Below are 20694 nucleotides of genomic sequence, written 5' to 3'. Positions count from 1 at the left end.
TTTACCACAATGTTATCTTTGTTGGTATAAAGTTCTTGATATTTCTTTTCTGGATGCATAACAATTATATAAGTTTGATAACTAAATTAATTCTTACTTGATATACATATATTCAGATTTTCTATTTCTTCTTGAGTCAGTTTTAGTAATTTGTATCTTTCAAGAAATTTAACCATTTTATCTAAGTTGTCAAACTTGTTGGCAAATGTTATCTATATATTCTCTTATGGCTCAATATGGATGTCTTCCCTTTCATTCCTGATACTGGTCATTTGTACCACCTCTCCTTTTTTTTTCTTATCAATCAGCTCTCTTCCAGCTCAGCTGAGCTCCTGTCATCTGGGTTTTACTGATCTTTGTAAAGAACCAGATTTTGGACTCATTCATTTTCTCTACTGTTTTCACTATTACAACTTCACTGATTTCTGTTCTGATTTTTATTATTTCTTTTCTTTTACTTGCTTCAGGTCTAATTTGCTCTATTTCTAGCTTCATATGGTAGAAACTTAGATAATGATTTAGATCTTTCTTCTTTTTAATTTTTATGCGTTCGTTCATTTTTTAATTTTTTTGAGACAGGGTCTCGCTCTGTCACCCAGACTGGAGTGTAGTGGCACAATCTCGGCTCACTGCAACTTCTGCCTCCAAAGTTCAAGTGATTCTCCTGCCTCAGCCTCCTGAGTAGCTAGGACTACAGGTGCACACCAACATGCCCGGCTAATTTCTGTATTTTAGTAGAGACGGGGTTTTACCATATTGGCCAGGCTGGTCTCAAACTCCTGACCTCGTGATCTGCCCGCCTTGGCCTCCCAAAGTGCTGGGATTACAGACGAAAGCCACTGTGCCTGGCCCTTCTTTTTTCAAATAAAGTATTTGAAGTGATAAATACGCCTCTAAGAACTGCTTTAGCTGGATCCCACAATTTCAGTATATTGTGTTTACATTTTCACTCAGTTAAAAATATTTTCTAGGCTGGGTGAGGTGGCTCATGCCTGTAATCCTAGCACTTTGGGAGGCCAAGGTGGATGGATCACTTGAGGTCAGGAGTTCAAGACCATCCTGCCCAACGTGATGAAACCCCATCTCTACTAAAAATAAAAAAAGATAGCCAGGCATGGTGTTGGGCACCTGTAATCCCAGCTATTCAGGAGGCTGAGGGAGAAGAATTGCTTGAACCCAGGTGCAGAGGTTGCAGTCAGCTGAGATCACACCACTGCCCTCGAGCCTGGGCAACAGAGGGAAACTGTCTCAAAAAAAAAAAAAAAAAAATTATTTCCTTGTGATTTCTGCTTTGATCCACAAATTACTTAGAATTATGATGCTTATCACAGATTTGATGATTTTCTATCTGTTATTAATTTCTAATTTAATTCTGTGTAGTCAAAAAACACACTTTATAACTCACTTCTTTGAAAATTGATACTTTACGGCTTGACACATGGTTTATTCTAATGAACGATATTCCATGTGTAGTTGTATATATATAATATATATTCTGCTGTTTGTTGGAGAAGTTATAGATGTAGTTATGTCATAATAGTGTTGTTCAGGTCTCTTTTATCCTAGTTGATTTGCTCTCTACTTGTTATTGATTACTAAGAAGGCACACTGAAGTCTCCAAATATAATGTAGATTTGTCTGTTTCTTCCTTCAATTCTGTCATTTGTTTATATAATTTGGGGCACTGTTATTTTGTGCATATATGTTTACAATTATTATATCTTCTTGCTCTATTGAGAGAGGGAATTTATTTTACATGTAATGCACAAAATAACTTGGGAAGATGGGAACTGCCAATGGTAGAAAAATAGCAACATTTTTCCAGCTTATGATAGGAAACTCAAAAAATGTTTTGTGTGGCAAGGAACAGCATAGCCTGGGTCCAGATGTTAACAGTGTAGGGTCAGGGTTCAAACTAAATGTTTTCAAATTCTGCCTGCTTTACTTACGAGGTGTGAATCTTGAGCAAGTTACTTCATCTCTGTGCGCCTGCTTCCTTGTCTGGAAAATGAGGATAATAGCTACCTCTCAGTTATAATGAAGTTTATTATTATTATTATTATTATTATTATTTTAGAGACGGAGTCTCGCTCTGTCGCCCAGGCTGGAGTGCGGTGGCGCGATCTCGGCTCACTGCAAGCTCTGCCTCCTGGGTTCACGCCATTCTCCTGCCTCAGCCTCCCAAGTAGCTGGGACTACAGGCACCCGCCACCATGCCTGGCTAATTTTTGTATTTTTAGTAGAGGCAGGGTTTCACCGTGTTAGCCAGGATGGTCTCGATCTCCTGACCTTGTGATCGCCCACCTCAGCCTCCCAAAGTGCTGGGATTACAGGCGTGAGCCATTGCACCCAGCCTATAACGAAGTTTAAATGAATTAAAATGCAAAGCACTTAAACAGTGCTTAGCATGTAGTCAATGTGTAGTAAATGCTAGCTATCATTATTTTTTCATGGGAAAATTATTTTGACAGAAGAAGAAAAAAAGGAGATATATTAATGTTCTTCAAGTTTTATGGAGGTGGGGGGGCTAGATAATCATGAGCCCCTCAGAGAATCTTATAACTATTTTCTTCCAATAAAAATGCACATACACAAACTACTTTACAAACAATGCTATGGAACTTAAAAGTTATGTGAAGCTGCTCTATTTAGAATTCTGGAGTTAGAGAATAAATGAGACAGATTCATTTAAGAAGAGAGAAAAGATAAGGGAACTATATAGGTTACTATCATTAGTCCTAACATGGTGGTAGAAATAGTGCTAGACTAAGATATTTAACAAAATTAGGAAGTCTAATAGATTACTGTGGAGAACAAGCTTGCTGTGTTAGAACATCTACTAGTTACCATTCTTGATTATTTCCTATGCTTAACAAAATGTTTGATTAAAAAATGTACTGCTAAGCTTGAGAGTCTCCAGACTATTAGAAAGAATAACTGAATTTAGCAGGACAGCTAAATGTCTAAGATTAATGTTCAAAAATTCCATTAAGTTTCTACATTTTAGCGACACATAGAAAACATAACTCTTAAATGATTCTATTTATAATAAAAGCAAAAAAAAAAAAGGCACGGGATACGTAGAAGCATTTTTTTTGCGGGGGGTGGGGTAGGGCACTACCTATCACTTCCACGGCTCAAAATAGTACTGGATGTGCACTAAGACAACAGAGAAATAAAGACTTAAAATGGGACATATAGTATTTTCAGATTATATGATCATAATTATATAGAATACCTAAAATAGTAAAAAGGCAAGTTATTAGAATAAAAAACTTTGCAAGTGGCCAGTCAGAAAACTATATAAAAATCAATGGTATTTGTACATGCCAGTAAAAATTAATCAGATAATGTAACAGAAGATATCATTTAAATAGAAATCACAACCATAAAGCCTCTAGAATTAATTAGCTTTATAAAAAAAAATGCTCCAGACTTACTTGGACGATTAAAAAATTCTATTAAAAGTGTTGTAATCCAAGCACTTTGGGAGCTGAGGGGGGTGGATCACTTGAGGCCAGGAATTCGAGACCAGCCCGCCTGACCAACATGGTGAAATCCTGTCTCCACTAAAAATACAAAAAAACTAGTCGGGTGCGGTGGTGCGCACCTGTAATCCGAGCTACTTGGGAGGCTGAGGCACAAGAATTGCTTGAACCCAGGAGGTGGAGGTTGAAGTGAGCTGAGATCGTGCCACTGCACTCCAGCCTGGGCAACAGAGTGAGACTGTCTTCCTCCCGCCCACCCAAAAAAAGTATTAAAACACCTGACTAAATGAATGTATAAACCACGTTCAATGTCTTAAAACTATAAATTGAAGATAATTCCAAACCAAAATCTTGTAGGATTTGGGAAGTAACTTGACAGATTAAAAAATGTATATAAGAATAAAAGCTTGGCTGGGTGTGGTGGCTCACGCCTGTAATCCCAGCACTTTAGGAGGCCAAGGCGGGCAGATCGCCTGAGGTCCAGAGTTCGAGACCGGCCTGGCCAACATGGTGAAGCCCTGTCTCTACTAAAAATACAAAAATTAGCTGGGTGTGGTGGTGGATGCCTGTAATCCCAGCTACTTGGAAGGCTGAGGTAGGAGAATTGCTTGAACCCAGGAGATGGAGGTTGCAGTGAGCCGAGACCGCGCCACTGCACTCCAGCCTGGGCGACAAAGCGAGTCTCTGTCTCAAAAAAATAAAAAAGAATAAAAGCTCATATATAGCAAAAAAAAAAAAAAAAAAAAAATAGAAAAAGCAAAAAGACGTCAAGAATAAATTGGACATTCACACTATCAGATATAATGTCTATAATAAAACCACAGTAATTAAAACAAACTGCTGCTAGTACAGAAACAAATAGCTTAATAGTATATAATAATCCAGAAATTTGAAAACTTGATACCATGAAAAATCAGTCCAAAAAAGTTACATTATTTCATAAATAATTTGTACATAGTGCTGGAAAAACTGTCTTATCAAATAGAGAAAAAATTAGAGCTTTACCTCATACCACACCACAAAATAAACTCCAGACTGAATTAAAAATCTAAATGTGAAGATAAAACTATGAAAATAATAGAAGAAAATACAAAATAAATTTATAATTTTAGGGTGGAAAAGGATTTTTTTTTAATTTTTAATTTTTGTGGGTACATAGTAGGTGTGTATATTTCTGGGGTATATGATGGAAAAGAATTTTTAAAATAAGATTCTAAAAGTACAAGTCATAAAGAAAAAGGTAATCGTTCTAACAACATTAAACTGAAAAATTTCTATTCCACAAAGGACACTATGGCTAAACAAAGCCAGTGAAAAGATATCTACTATGCTTAAAAACAGAATGAAGATAATCACAGAAACCCAATTTTTAAAAAGGGCCAGACTAGGAACAGAAAGTATACAGAGGGAAATTTAACTGGCTAAGTATATGAATATATGAAATTGCATTTATAATTAGAGAAATACAAATTAAATTAACCATAAGCATATGCTTTGTACTCAACTGACTGCCAAACATTACACACTGGCTAAGAAGAACTGCTGGCAAGTATATGGGGGAAAACAAGAATCCTCTTGCACTACAAATGGGAATATAAGCCTTGAGCAGCCATTTAGAAAAACAAATAGGTAGAATGTATCCTATGGCTCCAACAATCCCACAGCTGGTACACAGCCCAGAGAAACTTTATATTAAAGAAATCTTTATATTACAATATACAACATATTAGGTTCATAGCAAGAGTTAATTTTTTTCCATGGAAGCAAAGAGTTGGAGGCAGCCTGGATGTTCATCAGTGAAAAATAAATCGATGTGGGAAAAATATATTGGAAGATGACAGCATGAATATGCTGGACAAAAAGATGATTTATGTTCCTAGTAGGACAGTGTGAGACAGGATTTATGTCCCAAACAAGACAGCATGAGATTTCATCATGCTACTCAGAATGGTGTGCAATTTAAAACTTATGAATAGTTTTTTTCTGGAATTTTTCATTTAATATTTTCAGATTGCAGTATACCATGGGTAACAAAAGCCACAGCAAAATCGCAGATAAGGGGGTACTACTGTATACACAAACAAAGTAAGATTACACAGATGACAGAAACTAAATAAAAGGAGAACAAATTTCTATCTAAAGCTCTGATCTCACTTTTCTCACTTCAGTTGAACAGGTCCGCCTAAAGGGTCCAACTATCCCTCAATCTGAATATACACAAAGTACTTTCATTCCATCCCCTGTGCATCTGCCCTGTATTTCCTCCTTCTATTAAGTTTTCCCTAAAAGTTCATGTCTCTCGGTCTCAAGAAACAAGTATAGTATGATTCTTCCTTTTCTCTTGACTCTCACACATTCAACTAGTTGTCACATCCTATTTTATCTCTGAATCTCTAATCGCTCTCCAGCCTCTTCTATTCCCAGTATGTCCTTTCCTAACTGGTCTATTCTGTTCCCATCTGTCTATTCTTCACAATCTGTCTTATACTAGAATGAGGTTTTATCCTGAAACACAATTTGAATCATATCATATTTTTGTCTAACATCTTTCAATGGTCCAAATTCCCTCATATGAAATTCAAGATCCATTACAACTATATTTTAATCTCTTTCTTCACTATGTCACACTGTTCCTTTCTATGCAACATATTGAATGTATTTCTTTCTTGGTCTAAATATGTGTGGTATTCCACTACAGGCATCACTGTACACTCAAACACCAGACCAACTTTCAACGCCCAGCTCAAGAACTTCTGCCTCCACATACTTTCCAACTTATGGGCAAAAAATACTTTCTCATAAAAACAAATGACAAAATAAGCCATAAGGTAACAAGAACAGAGAGAACCACAGCCAATGGCCTTTAAATGTGAAAAAAGTACAGGTGGTAAAAGAAGTTGATTTTGTTTGGTTACTCTTCTCCATGCTTGAGGATGCCCATATGCCAGAAAGAAACACACTTTTTTAAAATATAAAATTTAAAAACTGTGAAAGAAAATATCTAATGAATGATTATTCTAAGAATTTGTTCAACATCTTATAACTCTAAAAAGAATGTTTTGGTGACAAATGTGCAGCATATGTCTTGAAGCACTTGATAAAAATGAAAGAATTCAAAACTATTTAATGTAATGGTGAATTACTTAAGAAAAAGGGAACACAAAACTGCTTAATTCTGATGTACTTCAGGATTCAAAGGCCATAAATATGATAAATGTTTAATTTCCACATCAAATTCCCTAGAACTGAATGGCAGATAAGTCAGGATCACATTCCTATAAGCACAGTTTGGGTTTACTTACCTTCTGGTTTCCTACCCTGTCACTTTCTTGCCCACTCATATCAATCCACAGTTTTATGAAATAGATTAAACCAGTGATAATTCATTCACCCATTTTAATACAACTGGCTACAAACTGAATACTGCTATAAATGCTGTCATATCTTCAACCAACCGGTTTTCTGACCAACATAACTTTTAAAAGAATATTAAAAGCAGACGATGTTAGGGACACAAATGTCAATAAGACTGAATCCTATGGTCCTATTCATCAAGTACTGGGAATGTATCATCATTGATCTAATCCAAAGCTGCTCAAATATCCAATATTAGTAATATTATCATAAAAATGGGTGGATGTTAACAAATACAACAAAAATAGTAAATATCCTAAATATTTATTCCTTTAAGCTAGATTAACATATAGTCATATGACAGTTACATATGTACTACACTACATACCAGTATATTTAAAACAAAATAGCTTATTATAAAAACAAGGCTTGGCTAGTGCGGTGGCTCATGCCTGTAATTCCAGCATTTTGGGAGGCCGAGGCAGGTAGATCACCTGAGGTCAGGAGTTTGAGACCAGCCTGGCCAATGTGGTGAAACCCTGTCTCTACTACAAATACAAAAATTAGCTGGGCCTGGTGGTGTGTGCCTGTAATCCCAGTTACTAGAGGGGCTGAGGGAGGAGGATTGCTTGAACCTGGCAGGCGGAGGTTGCAGTAAGCCGAGATTGTGCCACTGCACTCCAGTCTGGGCAACAGAGAGAGACTCCATCTGAAAAAAAAAAAAGCTCCCTCTTACATATCCCAAATTATCTACCTGGCAGCTAGGTAAATCTTCCCCAAAAAGGTGGTGCTGAAGAAGGCTGGTGATTCTGAGAAAAGGTAAGCAGAAGTCCTGTAAGCATTTTTCCATGGATTCAGGAGACCAAGCAATAGGGTTAACCTAAAGTTAAAAAAGAAAATTTGAACAAGTCAGTCTACAATAAAGAGTTTTTAAAAATTACATTCATAATGGCAAGAAAATGTAAATTTTTTACTAAATAACCGCTACATCTGATTTTTGCAGAAACATACCATTGCACATTCCTGAGTTCCTTCTTCATGGTATAACTTTCCTTTAAATAGTTCACTTATCACAAAGCTCAGTAATACTTCGTAAGACTTTTCTGCATCACATGTACTCTGAAAAAATTAAAATATTGGTTACACTGGTCACTGAAAATTATAAAAAATTTACATTGGAAATAATTTTTAATGAGTAGAGTAAAACTGTGATTATATTATTTTTCAAGCATATGAGCTTCAATTCTTCAAAATTTGGGTAAAACTGTACACCTCTGGATTCACAATGAAACTGGGTAGTTGGTCAAAGCTATTCCAACACTTCTTTAAAAGACAGCATATAAATTACATAATTATATGTAAATAAACATATGTAAATCATGTTTTTTGACCAAGTAATTCCCACCCCTGGGAATTCTTTCCAGGGATATAATCCAAAAGAAAAAAAATAGCTATATGTACAAGACATCCAGTACAGCACTATTACAGCAAGAACCTAGAAATGACCAGCAAGACTGAGGGAGTTACCTAAAAAATGGAATACCAACTTAAAAAACATTTTCTAAGCAGCGAATGTGGCAAATTTAAGCTGTACGAAAAATATTTACAATGTGAAAAGAGCCAAATTTAAAAAAGATATAGTCATTATAGTGGTATAATATATGCATATAACATATGCATACAATAGAAAAAATATAGACCACAAATTTTTTTCATTTACAATTTCCCTCAAATGTCTTTGAGGATTTATTAAAATAATACACTATAAAAATAAAATAGGACAATATATTTATTACAGAATATTCAGATAATGACATTAAGTAACAGTCTACAAGTTGATCTTAGTGTCCTACTTCCATTTTTATCAGAAAGAAAAAATAATGGCTTTTTATGAATTCAAATTTATGTCAATAAGATCTTTATACATAAAGAAATGCAGTTCTTTTTATATTCACTGAAATATAAAGTGTAACATGCAAATTACCATAAAATGTAAATTGGGATAAAGTCAGAACTGCTATGATGTCCTTTATTCTACTTATTAACTATACTTTTAAAATCCTAAAATATAGGAAGGGATAAACACCACAGAATGTAAGTTTAACCTAAACTTTTAAGGCACTGATAGTTTGGATCAGAGAATTTATTATTGGATGATATTTGGTCTTTCTATAGTTCCTCATTGTTTCGTTCATGTTACTGTGCTCTTTCCAACTAGACTGTAAATTCCAAAATATCATGAACTATGCTTTTTATTTCCCACGTATCCCTCTGCATAACAAAAATCTGAGCAAGAAATACCTGCTAATTAACTGATGAAATTTATTTTGGTAATACTGAAGTTTTGGAGTATTGGACCTTGGAACTTGCTTGGGTGTGCCTCTTCTGATAATCACTTCTTTGCATTATCTTTAAATTGCTCCTGTGCTTTCCGCCATATTCACTCAGCCATGTAGTATTATGTCCTGATTCTAAACTATAAAAACGACTCTGACTCTGCGGTGGTTCTCCTTATATCATGTGACTTGCCCCATCCTTACCTAATTAATCACCAGTATGATTACGTGTTAAATATTAATAACCTATAGATTACATATAATTCACAAGAATCAATATCTCGCTAAATATCAAAACAGCAATGTATCATGTTTTTAAAATTGATTTAAGTAAATTATCTCTTAAATAGGCAGAGTTCACCTAAACTCAAAACACTACCATAGATTTGTAGAAAACTCAAACTACCACAGATTTGCTATTTATTAATCAATGTGGCATAGTTAAGTTTCTCTAAATGTACAATTCAGTCTAAAAGCTTCCTAAATTCAATATACTTTTCTGAGTAAAAGATTCAAAGAGTACAACAGAAGAGTATTTCTGTTCAGATCAGCTAAGTAAGTCACTGAGTGATAACTTGACTTTTAAGTCATTATTAACAAATACATTTTGAGCACTTATTTTACACATGGCAAATTTTATATCATATCAGAAAGTTAAATATAATGTAATGTTCACTGCTTTGTATTGAGACTTCTTCACAATACAAAGTATTAAGAAAAATATTTTATATAGGCAATCTTTGAATAAACGAAAAAGTAGGCTCTTGAAGCTTAAGAAAGATGATTTCTGAGAACATGGATGAAAGACCTAAAATCGAGATAAGAAGAATCCTAAGGGGGAGGTGGCAAAAGTATGTGGGTTAAATTTAAAAAAGGATCAAGGGTCGAGAGATGCAAGAGAGTCTGTGCTGGGTAGAATACTTTGTCTAAATTACAGTATTTCTTAAAGTTTTTGATTTCAATATGTTTTGGATGCTATGATACCACACCCCAGCAAACAAAACAACAAAACCTATCCAAGGATCCCAGACTAAGAAATTCTAGTAGGCTGGGCATGGTGGCTCACGCCTGTAATCCCAGCACTTTGGGAGGCCAAGGTGGGAGGATTGCTTGAGGCCTGGAGTTCAAGACCAGCCTGGGCAACACAGCAAGACTTCCTCCCCACAAAAAATGGGAAAGTTAGCCAGGTGTGGTGGTGTGTGCCTGTAGTCCTAGCTACTTCAGAGGCTGAGGTGGGAGGATCAATTGAGCCCAGGAGTTTGAGGTTGCAGTGAGCTGTGATCATGCCACTGCACTCCAACGTGGGCGATAGAGTGAGACCCTGTCAAAAAAAAAAAAGGAAGAAAAGATAAGAAAAGAAAGAAAGGAAAAGGAAGGAAGGAAAGAAAAAGAAAAAGAAAAAAGAAAAGAAATTCTAGTATAAAGACTCTTAGCAGAAATTCCATTGACCAAAAAAGTATGAGTTACACTAACTGGAATGATGACTTTTTCAGAACTAAATCTCATTATCAAATTAACACCCCTTCAAATAATATATAATACCGATATTTTTACTACCATAGGCCAGATGAGATCTGGCAAAAATACGTTTTCATTACAATTAGTATGCCAAACATAAGCAATTAAAGAGATGAAGCGAATAAGTGAAATTCAATGAAGAAAGGAAGAAAGGAAGGAAAGGGGTGAGAGAAGACGTAAAGAAGGAAGTGAAAAAATAAGAGTAATCAATGATGCAGAAATCTAAGTAGTTACAGAGGTCACAGTGGTATATTTCATCACTCATAAATATGGTTGTCTCCCAGTTTCCATGATGGATGGGTTCCAGGAACCACCCCTTGGAAACCAAAATCCATAGATCCTCAAGTTCCTAACATAAAATAGTGTATTACAGTATAGTTGTTGGTATTACAGGCATTTACAAACTGCTATGTATCTAAATGTTTATGTCTATTATAGAAAAAGCTAATAACGTAGTAAATCAACCTACAGACTATCGTAATTTTTAATTTTCTTTCACTAAAGAAAATTATATATTTATATAGCTATAAACTAATACACTAATATATATTTATATGGCTATAAGCCAATATACTTCTAATTAATGTTCTGATAAGAATCTGTCTCATATAAAGTATTTTATTAAGTGTTTTTTAAAAATAACTAACAATTACGAGGTTCAGAAAAAAACTGGACCAGTTACCTAAATTACATCATGTTCCTCCCTTCATAGATTTACAATTGTAAATAGTTAGACCCAAATTTTATCAGCAAATTTCTTAAATGTGTTATTTTTCATGATTAGACAGCTTACTAAGGAAACATTTAAATAATGACACAGCACAGAAACCTAATATACCTCATTTGAATACTATCTGAACACTAACAATCCAAATATCAGATTACATTGCAGTCAGAAAAATTAAAAGAATATTTAGGAAAAATAGGCCAGGCAAGGTGGCTCATGCCTGTAATCCCAGCACTTTGGGAGGCCAAGGCAGGTGGATTACCTTGAGTCCAGGAATTCAAGACCAGCCTGGGCAACATGGTAAAAACCCAGCTCTACTAAAAATACAAAAAATCAGCTGTGTGTGGTGGCACAAGCCTGTAGCCCCAACTACTCGTCAGGGCTGAGGTGGGAGGATCCCTTGGGCCCAGGAGGTTGAGGCTGCAGTGAGCCCTGATCATACCATTGCACTACAGCCTGGGTGACAATGAGACCCTGTCTCAAAAAAAAAAAAAAAAAGAAAAAACTAAAGATAATTACAAAAAGAAAAACTGTCCAAGAATTAACCAGCAACAAGGGGGAAAAAATCTTTCAAGAAAGACAGAAATTAATTTTGAGAATTTAGAATAACAGAATTGAAATAGAAGTGCCCTTATAAATCATATGGTCCAAACCTTTCATTTACCTTTGAGAAAGCTGAGGCTTAGACAGTTATGTTTTGACTAAAAAAGTAACATCTCTATTTAGTAGCAGGAGATTGGCCTTGTACTTGGGTTTGATGGCCAACTGACACATAATAAATAATTATTCTTAACCCATAATTAAGACACAGTGAACTCTGTGATGATACGATATTAAATGTACACATAATTGTGATATGAGAGTAAACTGATGATAACAGTGAAGGTTATATTGAATACATTTCATGTATTTATAATTGGTTTTCTCTCCTTTGATACAAGTAGATATAATTTCAACAAAAAAAGTTTTAATGACATTTAAAAACCCCTTAAGACTCTGTGAGCCAATCAAAAGGTTCAATTTACACTATACCTATTATTTTTCCTACCAACTTCTACAAATAAACACTGAAGCAATTTTCTTCTTTTATCTGTCTCTAAGCTGAACCACTCAGTTCTTCGGTTCTATAACTCTATAGTATCTCATTTGTTCTCAAGCTACTGAAAGTATTTACATTTAGCATAATTTTTCTAAATAGTTTGCATAATTTAGCTTAAACTGAGTTCCTTTGAGTTTCCTAAGAACTTGTACATATTCTAACAAGAAAAAAGGTAATATTTCAAGATGCATAATTAAGAAAAGGCTAGGACTGGCCGGGCGCGGTGGCTCATGCCTGTAATCCCAGCACTTTGGGAGGCTGAGGTGGGCGGATCACAAGGTCAGGAGTTCAAGACCAGCCTGGCCAACATGGTGAAACCCTGTCTCTACTAAAAATACAAAAATTAGCTGGGCATGGTGGCAGGCGCCTATAGTCCCAGCTACTCAGAAGGCTGAGGCAGGAGAATTGCTTGAACCCAGGAGGCAGAGGTTGCAGTGAGCTGAGATTGTACCACTGCACTCCAGCCTAGGTGACAGACAGAGAGTCTGCCACAAAAAAAAAAAAAAAAAAAAAAGAAAGAAAAGACTAGGATTTTAAATTTAGAAGTGGTGCATCAAAAGCTATCTTTGGATTGTGATTGGGGATAGGGACAAAAAGAAAAAGTGGCGAATAAAATAGATAAGTCTGCAGATATTTTATCATGTGCTCACTGTGTTAGCACAATTTTTATAACTTCTCTAAGTTTAAGGCTTGCAGAAAAAGCAAAACAAAACTGCTCAAATATAAAGGGATAAAAGGATGAGGTTTAGAGACAGATATAGAAGTCCTCATTGTTTAGTGAAAACATTTTAAACATTTTTTAGCCTGTAGGTGCTCAATTTACAATTAAAATACCAATAACTCATTTTGTAACACCTACTCTTATTCACTCAATATCCCCAGCTTAAATGACTTCACCTACCTGCTAAATGACAAATTTAGAAAGAGCCTAACCTTTTTGAGAGCTCCCGCGTGTTTCCAGGCTGACCTATCTTCTTCGCTGCATTTAACTGAGAGTGCTGCAAGAGCCTGTGTGTACAGTAGGGTAAAAAGTACCTTCACAATGCAGGTAAAGTGGTCTGCAAGAGAAAAAAAATCATTATTTCTTTGGAATCTAGATATTTTGTACTCAACATAGTTTTACAAATATATGCCTTTCCTTGCATATGTAATTGGTTTTTGTTTTCAACACTTAATAGTTTTTTTGTTTGTTTTTGAGACGAGGTCTCAGTCTGTCACCCAGGCAGTGTGGTGCCTGGAGTACAGTGGCATGATCACAGTTTACTGAAGCCTCGACCTCCCAAGCTCAAGCGATCCTCTCATCTCAGCCTGTAATCTGCCCCGCCCAACAGTAGCTGGGACTACAGGCATGTGCCACTACGCCTGATTAGCTTTTTATTTTTTGTAGAGATGGGGCCTCCCTATGTTGCCCAGGCTAGTCTCAAATTCCTTGGGCTCAAGCAATCCTCCCACTGCAGCCTCCCAAAGAGCTGGGGTTAGAGACATGAGAGTCTGAAATTATAATGTACTATTATATTTGCTGCCCAACAGATCTGAAATTATGAAAGCAAAATTCCTCTATTCATCCAAAGAACATATAAATGAGAAGTACTCAGCATAGTGGAAAGGGTGCTCTCTTTCAGAAGACCAGAGTGCTAATGCCATTCAACCTTGGAATAGCTGTGGAACCCTGGCAAATGCCCTTCCTGGGCTTCACATGCTCAATAACAACGTTTGGGAGTCTCAATGTTTAAAACCAACACATCATCTACCCCTATATGATGCACATCTTAATAAGGATAGTATTATATGGAATATGATATAAATCTTACAAAGTTAAAAAAAATCTTGATGTTTAGGTTACTAATTTGGCTTCAGAATTTAATGAAAACTATAGCAATAAGCCTGGGCAACACAGACCCCCTCTCTACAAAAATTTTTAAAAATAGCTGGGTGTGGCCAGGGGCGGTGGCTCACGCCTGTAATCCCAGCACTTTGGGAGGCTGAGGTGGGCGGATCACAAGGTCAGGAGTTTGAGACCAGCCTGGCCAACATAGTGAAACCCTGTCTCTACTAAAAAATACAAAAAATAAGCCAGGCATGGTGGCGGGTGCCTGTAATATCAGCTACTTGGGAGGCTGAGGCAGGAGAATCGCTTGAACCCGGGAGGCGGAGGTTGCAGTGAGCCAAGATTCTGGCATTGCACTCCAGCCCAGGCAACAGTGTGAGACTCTGTCTCCAAAAAAAAAAAAAAAGCTGGGTGTGGTGACAAGCACCTGTCATCCTAGCTACTTGGGAGGCAGAGGATCACTTGAGCTCAGAAGGGAAGGCTATAGTAATCCAAGATCACTCCACTTAACTCCAGCCTGGGCAATGGAGTGAGAGCCTGTCTCAAATAAAGATAAAAATAAAAATAAAAAACTTAGCAATATGAAATAGTAGTAACAATATGTAAAGTGCCTGGTAGCTTCTGGCACATATTAGGTACTTAATAAATGGAAGCTTTAATACTGATAATTAACATTTATATTTACCTAATAACTTAGCAATTTTCTTCAAGTGTCTCATTCAATCCTCAAAACAGTCTCAACAGGATAACTGAGCTTCAGAAAGATGTGCTTGTGATATCAAAGCTAATAAGCACCCAGGTCTGAACTTGAATCCATATAGATCATTTTTCTTCAGGTTCAGTGTTCCTTCTATTATATTATACTCCTCCCCTAGTAAATGGATACTACCATTTAATCAGTTGCTGGAGTCAAAAACTTGCAGATATTCTTGACAATTTCCCCATTAAAATAATCACCAAGTCCTGTTAATTCTACTTTTTAAATATTTCTCGTCAGTTTCAACACCCTGGACTAGACTTCCATCCTTTCTTGCCTAGACCTATAATCCCAGCTAAAGTGGCTGTGTTGGGGGTCCCCAAGACCACTGCCAGGTTTGATGATTCACTAGGAGGACTTAAAAGACTGAGTACAGAGTCATACTCATAGCTGTTATGACTTATGACTGCAAAAGGATAAAAGTTAAAATCAGCAAAGGGAAAAAAGGCACATTGGGTGAAGTCCAGAGGAAACTTCCAGAGTCTTCTTCCAGTAGAACCACACAGGATGTGCTAAACTCCCCCAGCAACAACCAGCTGTGATGGCACGTAGGAAATGGATACCAGGGTATCTCATTAGAGACTCAGTGCCCAAGGTTTTTACTGGGGTCATGCAGGTACTCTCTTCCTAGTACATACCAAAATTCCAGACTCTCAAGAGGAAAGCAGGTACATTCGGCATAAACCATACTCTTTGTACAAACAATTTAGGCATAGTGTGCCACTCTTATCAATTCTGGGAATGGTGGGACCCCTCCTGAAATCCAAGTTCCCAGATGCTAGTCAAGGCCTAACCTTGCAAGCAGGCCTTTCAAAGGACAGCAGTCAGGCCTTCTATGTTAATTCTTTCCAGCACAGTAGTTTATCTGTATCACCTCTCAGCCCCCTGCAATCTACTTTCCTTATTCCAGCCAGAATGATCTTTTATTTTTCCTCCAGCTTTACTGAGGTATAATTGACAAAAATTATATTATTGAAGGTAGACAATGTAGTTTTGATATAAGCATACACTGTGAAATGATGGTCACATCAAGTTAACTAACATATTCATCATCCCATATGGTTACATGTGTCTGTGTGTATGTGTGTGCACTGAGAATACTTAAGATCTCTTTGCTTAGTGCATTTTAAGTATACAAGAGAATATTACAGCTATAGTCATCATGTTGTATATTAGATCTCCAGAACTTATTCATCTTATAACTGAAAGTACACACCCGTTGACCAACATCTCCCCATTTTCCCCACCTCCCTGTCCCATGTGAACCACCCTCCTACTCTCTATTTTGACTTGTTTAGATTCCACATATAAGTGAGATCATGCAGTATTTCTCTTTTTGTGGCTTATTTCATTTAGCATAATGTCCTATGGGTTCATCCATGCTGTCGCAAATGGCAAGATTTCCTTCTTTTTTAAGGCTAAATAACGTCCCAGTGTACTTATATGCCACATTATCTTTATTCATCCATTGACAGACACTTAGGTGGTTTCCATATCTTGGCTATTGTGATTAAAGCCATAATGAACATGGGAGTGGAGTGCAGATGTCTCTTTGAGATACTGATTTTACTTCCTTAGGATGTACACCCAGAAGTGGGACTACTGGATGATACAGTAGTTCTATTTTAGTTTTTTGAGGAACCTCCATACAGTTTCAGGATGCCCAGAACTAAGGAAAAACAATGAGTCAACAATCAGAATGAGTCATATTAGAGAAATATTTAGATGACAGAAATTATAGGATTTCATGGACCTTTGGAGGTAGAGGGTGATGGTGGTATCTCATAGACGTAGCAGCATTGACTAAAATGTAAAACAGAGGATGAGAGCAGGCTTGGATAGGTAGAAAATTAACATTATATATACTGAGTTTGAGGCATGTCTAAAAATTCAAGTCTGGAACTCACTGGGGAGTTGTAGTCTAAAGCTAGAGATTTGGGAATCATCAGATAATAGGTATAGTTAAAGCTATGGGAAAAAAGATAAAATTGTGAAGGAAGAGGACAGTAAATAAAGAACAATTCATTTAAAAAGAGCCTGAAAATGAGTAGGAAATGAGACAGTAGAAGAACTAGGAAAGGATGGTGCCGTCAAAGTCAAGAAAAATATTCCATCATTTAATGAAATATTTTAATAAGTGACAGACATTACAGAATTTGTCTATTAAGTACAAACAAAAACATCCTAACCAGAAAGTCATTTATATTGTGTAGAAACACCACTGACATATAGCTTCTTCTTAAACTATACATACATATATTTTTTCTTTTACTAAAAAGAAGTGATGTGGCCGGGCGCGGTGGCTCACGCCTGTAATCCCAGCACTTTGGGGGCCAAGGTGTGTGAATCACCTGAGGTCAGGAGTTTGAGACCAGCCTGGCCAACATGGTGAAACCTCGTCTCAACTAAAAATACAAAAAATTAGTCGGGCGTGGTGGCGGGTGCCTGTAAGCCCAGCTACTTGGAAGGCTGAGGCAGGAAAATCACTTGAACCCAAGAGATGGCGTTTGCAGTGAGCTGATAATGGTGCCATTGCACTCCAGCCTGGGCAACAAGAGTGAAATTCTGTCTCAAAAATAATAATAATAAAATAAATAAAATAGAAGTAATGTACTAAAAGAAATGATAGCCACTATAGTTTTAGCTTTTCATTGTAGAAAAGTACTAATTTCTGGTTTTAGTCCATTTGTCTGTCTTGATTATCATCATTTAAAAAAATACAGTCAGCTCTTTGTACCTGTGGGCTCCTCATCCATGGATTCAGCCAATCATGGCTCAAAAGTATTTGGAAAAAAAAAATAGATGGTTGTGTCTGTACTGAACATGTACAGACTTTTGCCCTTCTCATTATGCCCTAAAAAATACAGTATAACAACTATTTATATAACATTTATATTGTACTAAGTAATCTAGAGATGATTTAAAGTATATGAGAAGATATGTGTAGGTTATATGCAAATACTACACCATTTTATGTAAGGGACTTGAGTATCTGTGCATTTTGGAATTGGCAGGGGGTCGTGGAACCAATCTCCCATGGATACCAATGGATGATTAACTGGCAATTTAAAGTCAAGGCTTAAGTTCTCATATTCACTTGTTCATTTAACAGATGTTTATTTATTGAATGCTTGCCATGTGTAACACCAACATCTTTTAGGGACCTACAAGAAACAAGGAATCTCTCACATGAGGTTTATATTAGGTCAACAGGCTGCTAACTACCAACATTAAAACAGAAAACAAAGTCCTTCAAATACAATTATCAACATTTAAAAAGAACAAAAAAGGATTGGACATCTAATCTAAGTCAATGTGTTTAAAAACTACAATAACAACAAAAAAAACTATCAAAATACCTGAGGACGAACAAAGGAAGATCAATACTTACTTGAAATGCCTTAGAAGCAAACTACCTGTAGTTTCTTTTAAGACAAGGTAGAGTATATCTAAAATAACAAAATCCCTAGGGGAAGAGCACACAGGTAAACAGGACATGATCTGAAGAAGGTATCAGACATTTTATTCTGTTCCTATCACCATGATAATTTTTTGTAAAAATACTATTCCACTGCTTCCATAAAGCACTTTGCATATACCACATGCAGATGTCAAATCTTCTCAGTCTTACCTTTTATGATTTGGAGTTACTAACTACATGTGCTCTGACCCTCTCCAAAAAGTCTAGTCTACAAGAAAAATCAATTTGTGATGTTCTTTTCTGTGTGAAAAACTCAAGTCTATTTTCTCTCTGATGAGTGAAGAATCCAAACGGTTTAAAAAGACTTCATTTGCCTTAGTCAACATAGAACCAAGAAAAGATACCAAGTCCGTCTAACAACTAATAGGGTAGTAAATGCTGGTCCTTTGGGTATACTTCAGGCAATTGAATTTTGGGTCCAATAAACTGCCAACATTCTCAAAAAACATTATATAGAAGTGATCACAATATAAGTGTTAAAGATTCAAATGAAAGTAATAGCTTTCTTGAATTTTAAAATGGAAAATAAGCAATTTACCATAAAATAAGAGTATTGTGTTTTTAACACATCCACTGTATCCCCAAAGCATTTACTGAACATATGATGTACCAAGTGGGCATTAGGATAGATAGTGCTGCTAGTCTTGGAGGAACTGACAGTCTGGAGAGGGCGATAGTAAAGAAAATCAGACAAGTCAGACAAGTATCAAAACAGAATCACGGAGAAGTTATTATGGCAATGAGAAAAAGGATATCCAATAGAAAGGCTTCTAGAAAGGGCAACACAAGGTAAAGGACCATCATGAGTTATTAAGTAAAGAATGGATAAATGGCAAACACTTAAAGATGCTCACAATTCTCCTATCTTAAAAACAAAAAATAACCCCTTTGAAATAGTAATCCCCCCCTTATCCTCAGGAGATACACTCCAAGACCCCAGGGGATGTCTGAAACTGCGGATAGTTCTGAATCCTACATCTGCAGTACTATGTAACAAGATGGGTTTGAACTGTGCAGGTCTACTCATACAAGGATTTTCTTCCACTTTTGCCACCCCTGAGACAGCAAGATCAACCCTTCCTCTTCCTTAGCCTATTCAACATGAAGATGACAAGGATGAATACTTTTATGATGATCCACTTCCACTTAATGAATAGTAAATATATTTTCTCTCTTATAATTTTCTTAATAATGTTTTCTTTTCTCTAGCCTTACATTGTGAGAATAAAGTACGTAATACATATAACATAAATTATGTGTTAATTGACAGTGTTATTGGTAAGGCTTCTGGTCAGCAATAGGCTATTAGTAGCTAAGTTTTTGGGAAATCAAAAAATATGTGCAGTGGATTCAACTGCATGGTGGAGTGGGGTGGGAAGTGGAGAAGTAAAGGGGGACCACACCCTTAGCCTCTGTGTTGTTCAAGGGTCAACTGTACATACATACCTATGATAAAGTTTAATTTATAAATTAGACACAATAAGACATTAACAATAATATAGAACAATTATAATAAAAATTATGAAAATCTGATCTCTCAAAATTATTTACTGTACTATGGCCATAACTTTTACTATTTAAGGTGTGATTGTGAAACTAGCACAAATTTGTTTTTCCTTCTTCATAATTTCATGGATAGAAGACTCATTCTTACCAAAGATCTTAGTAACCTCAGCATACAATTTTTTTCCTTTCCTTTTTAAGTAAGGAATTTTCACCTTTTCACTTAAAAGAAAAAACTTTAGTTTCTCTTTGGCGTATCCAAATTGCCAGTGTCAACTTAAGAAACACAAGGTTTACGAATTTGGAAACGAGGGCTTTATTTCTCATAAAAGGTTGCATCCTGCAGGCTAGCCATCAGCAAGCTGGGAATCACAGCCTCTAGCATAAGCCAAGAGCAAGTCCTTTGAGGAAGGTCAGGAATTTATGCTAAATAGGGTGGCTAAGTGTACACGTTCAATAAGCTATAGGAAGAGTCATGAGTATTTATGAAAGGAGAAACACGCACATGAGCAATTTAGCTTCATGCCTCTTCATGGGTTGCGTGTTCAAAAAATGGTGGCAACAGCATGATGCCAGAGTGAGGTTTTGACCCTCTGACACTAG

General features: G+C 36.2%; 1 protein-coding gene across 1 annotated transcript in view; it reads right to left on the bottom strand.

The window, feature by feature from the left end:
* Nucleotides 1–20694, bottom strand: part of UBR3 (ubiquitin protein ligase E3 component n-recognin 3) — a 256678-nt gene that overhangs the window by 15092 nt on the left and 220892 nt on the right. The window contains exons 33-35 of the mRNA NM_172070.4: nucleotides 13456–13580; nucleotides 7854–7961; nucleotides 7597–7722 (exon numbers count right to left, since the gene is read on the bottom strand). Of these exons, the coding sequence (NP_742067.3) occupies nucleotides 7597–7722; nucleotides 7854–7961; nucleotides 13456–13580 (359 nt within the window). The remainder of the gene's footprint in view (nucleotides 1–7596; nucleotides 7723–7853; nucleotides 7962–13455; nucleotides 13581–20694) is intronic.

This window comes from Homo sapiens, chromosome 2 (assembly GCF_000001405.40).
Source record: "Homo sapiens chromosome 2, GRCh38.p14 Primary Assembly".
NCBI classification, from domain to species: domain Eukaryota; kingdom Metazoa; phylum Chordata; class Mammalia; order Primates; family Hominidae; genus Homo; species Homo sapiens.
Note: the sequence above shows the minus strand (reverse complement) of the source record. Positions and strands in the feature narration are given on the sequence as shown.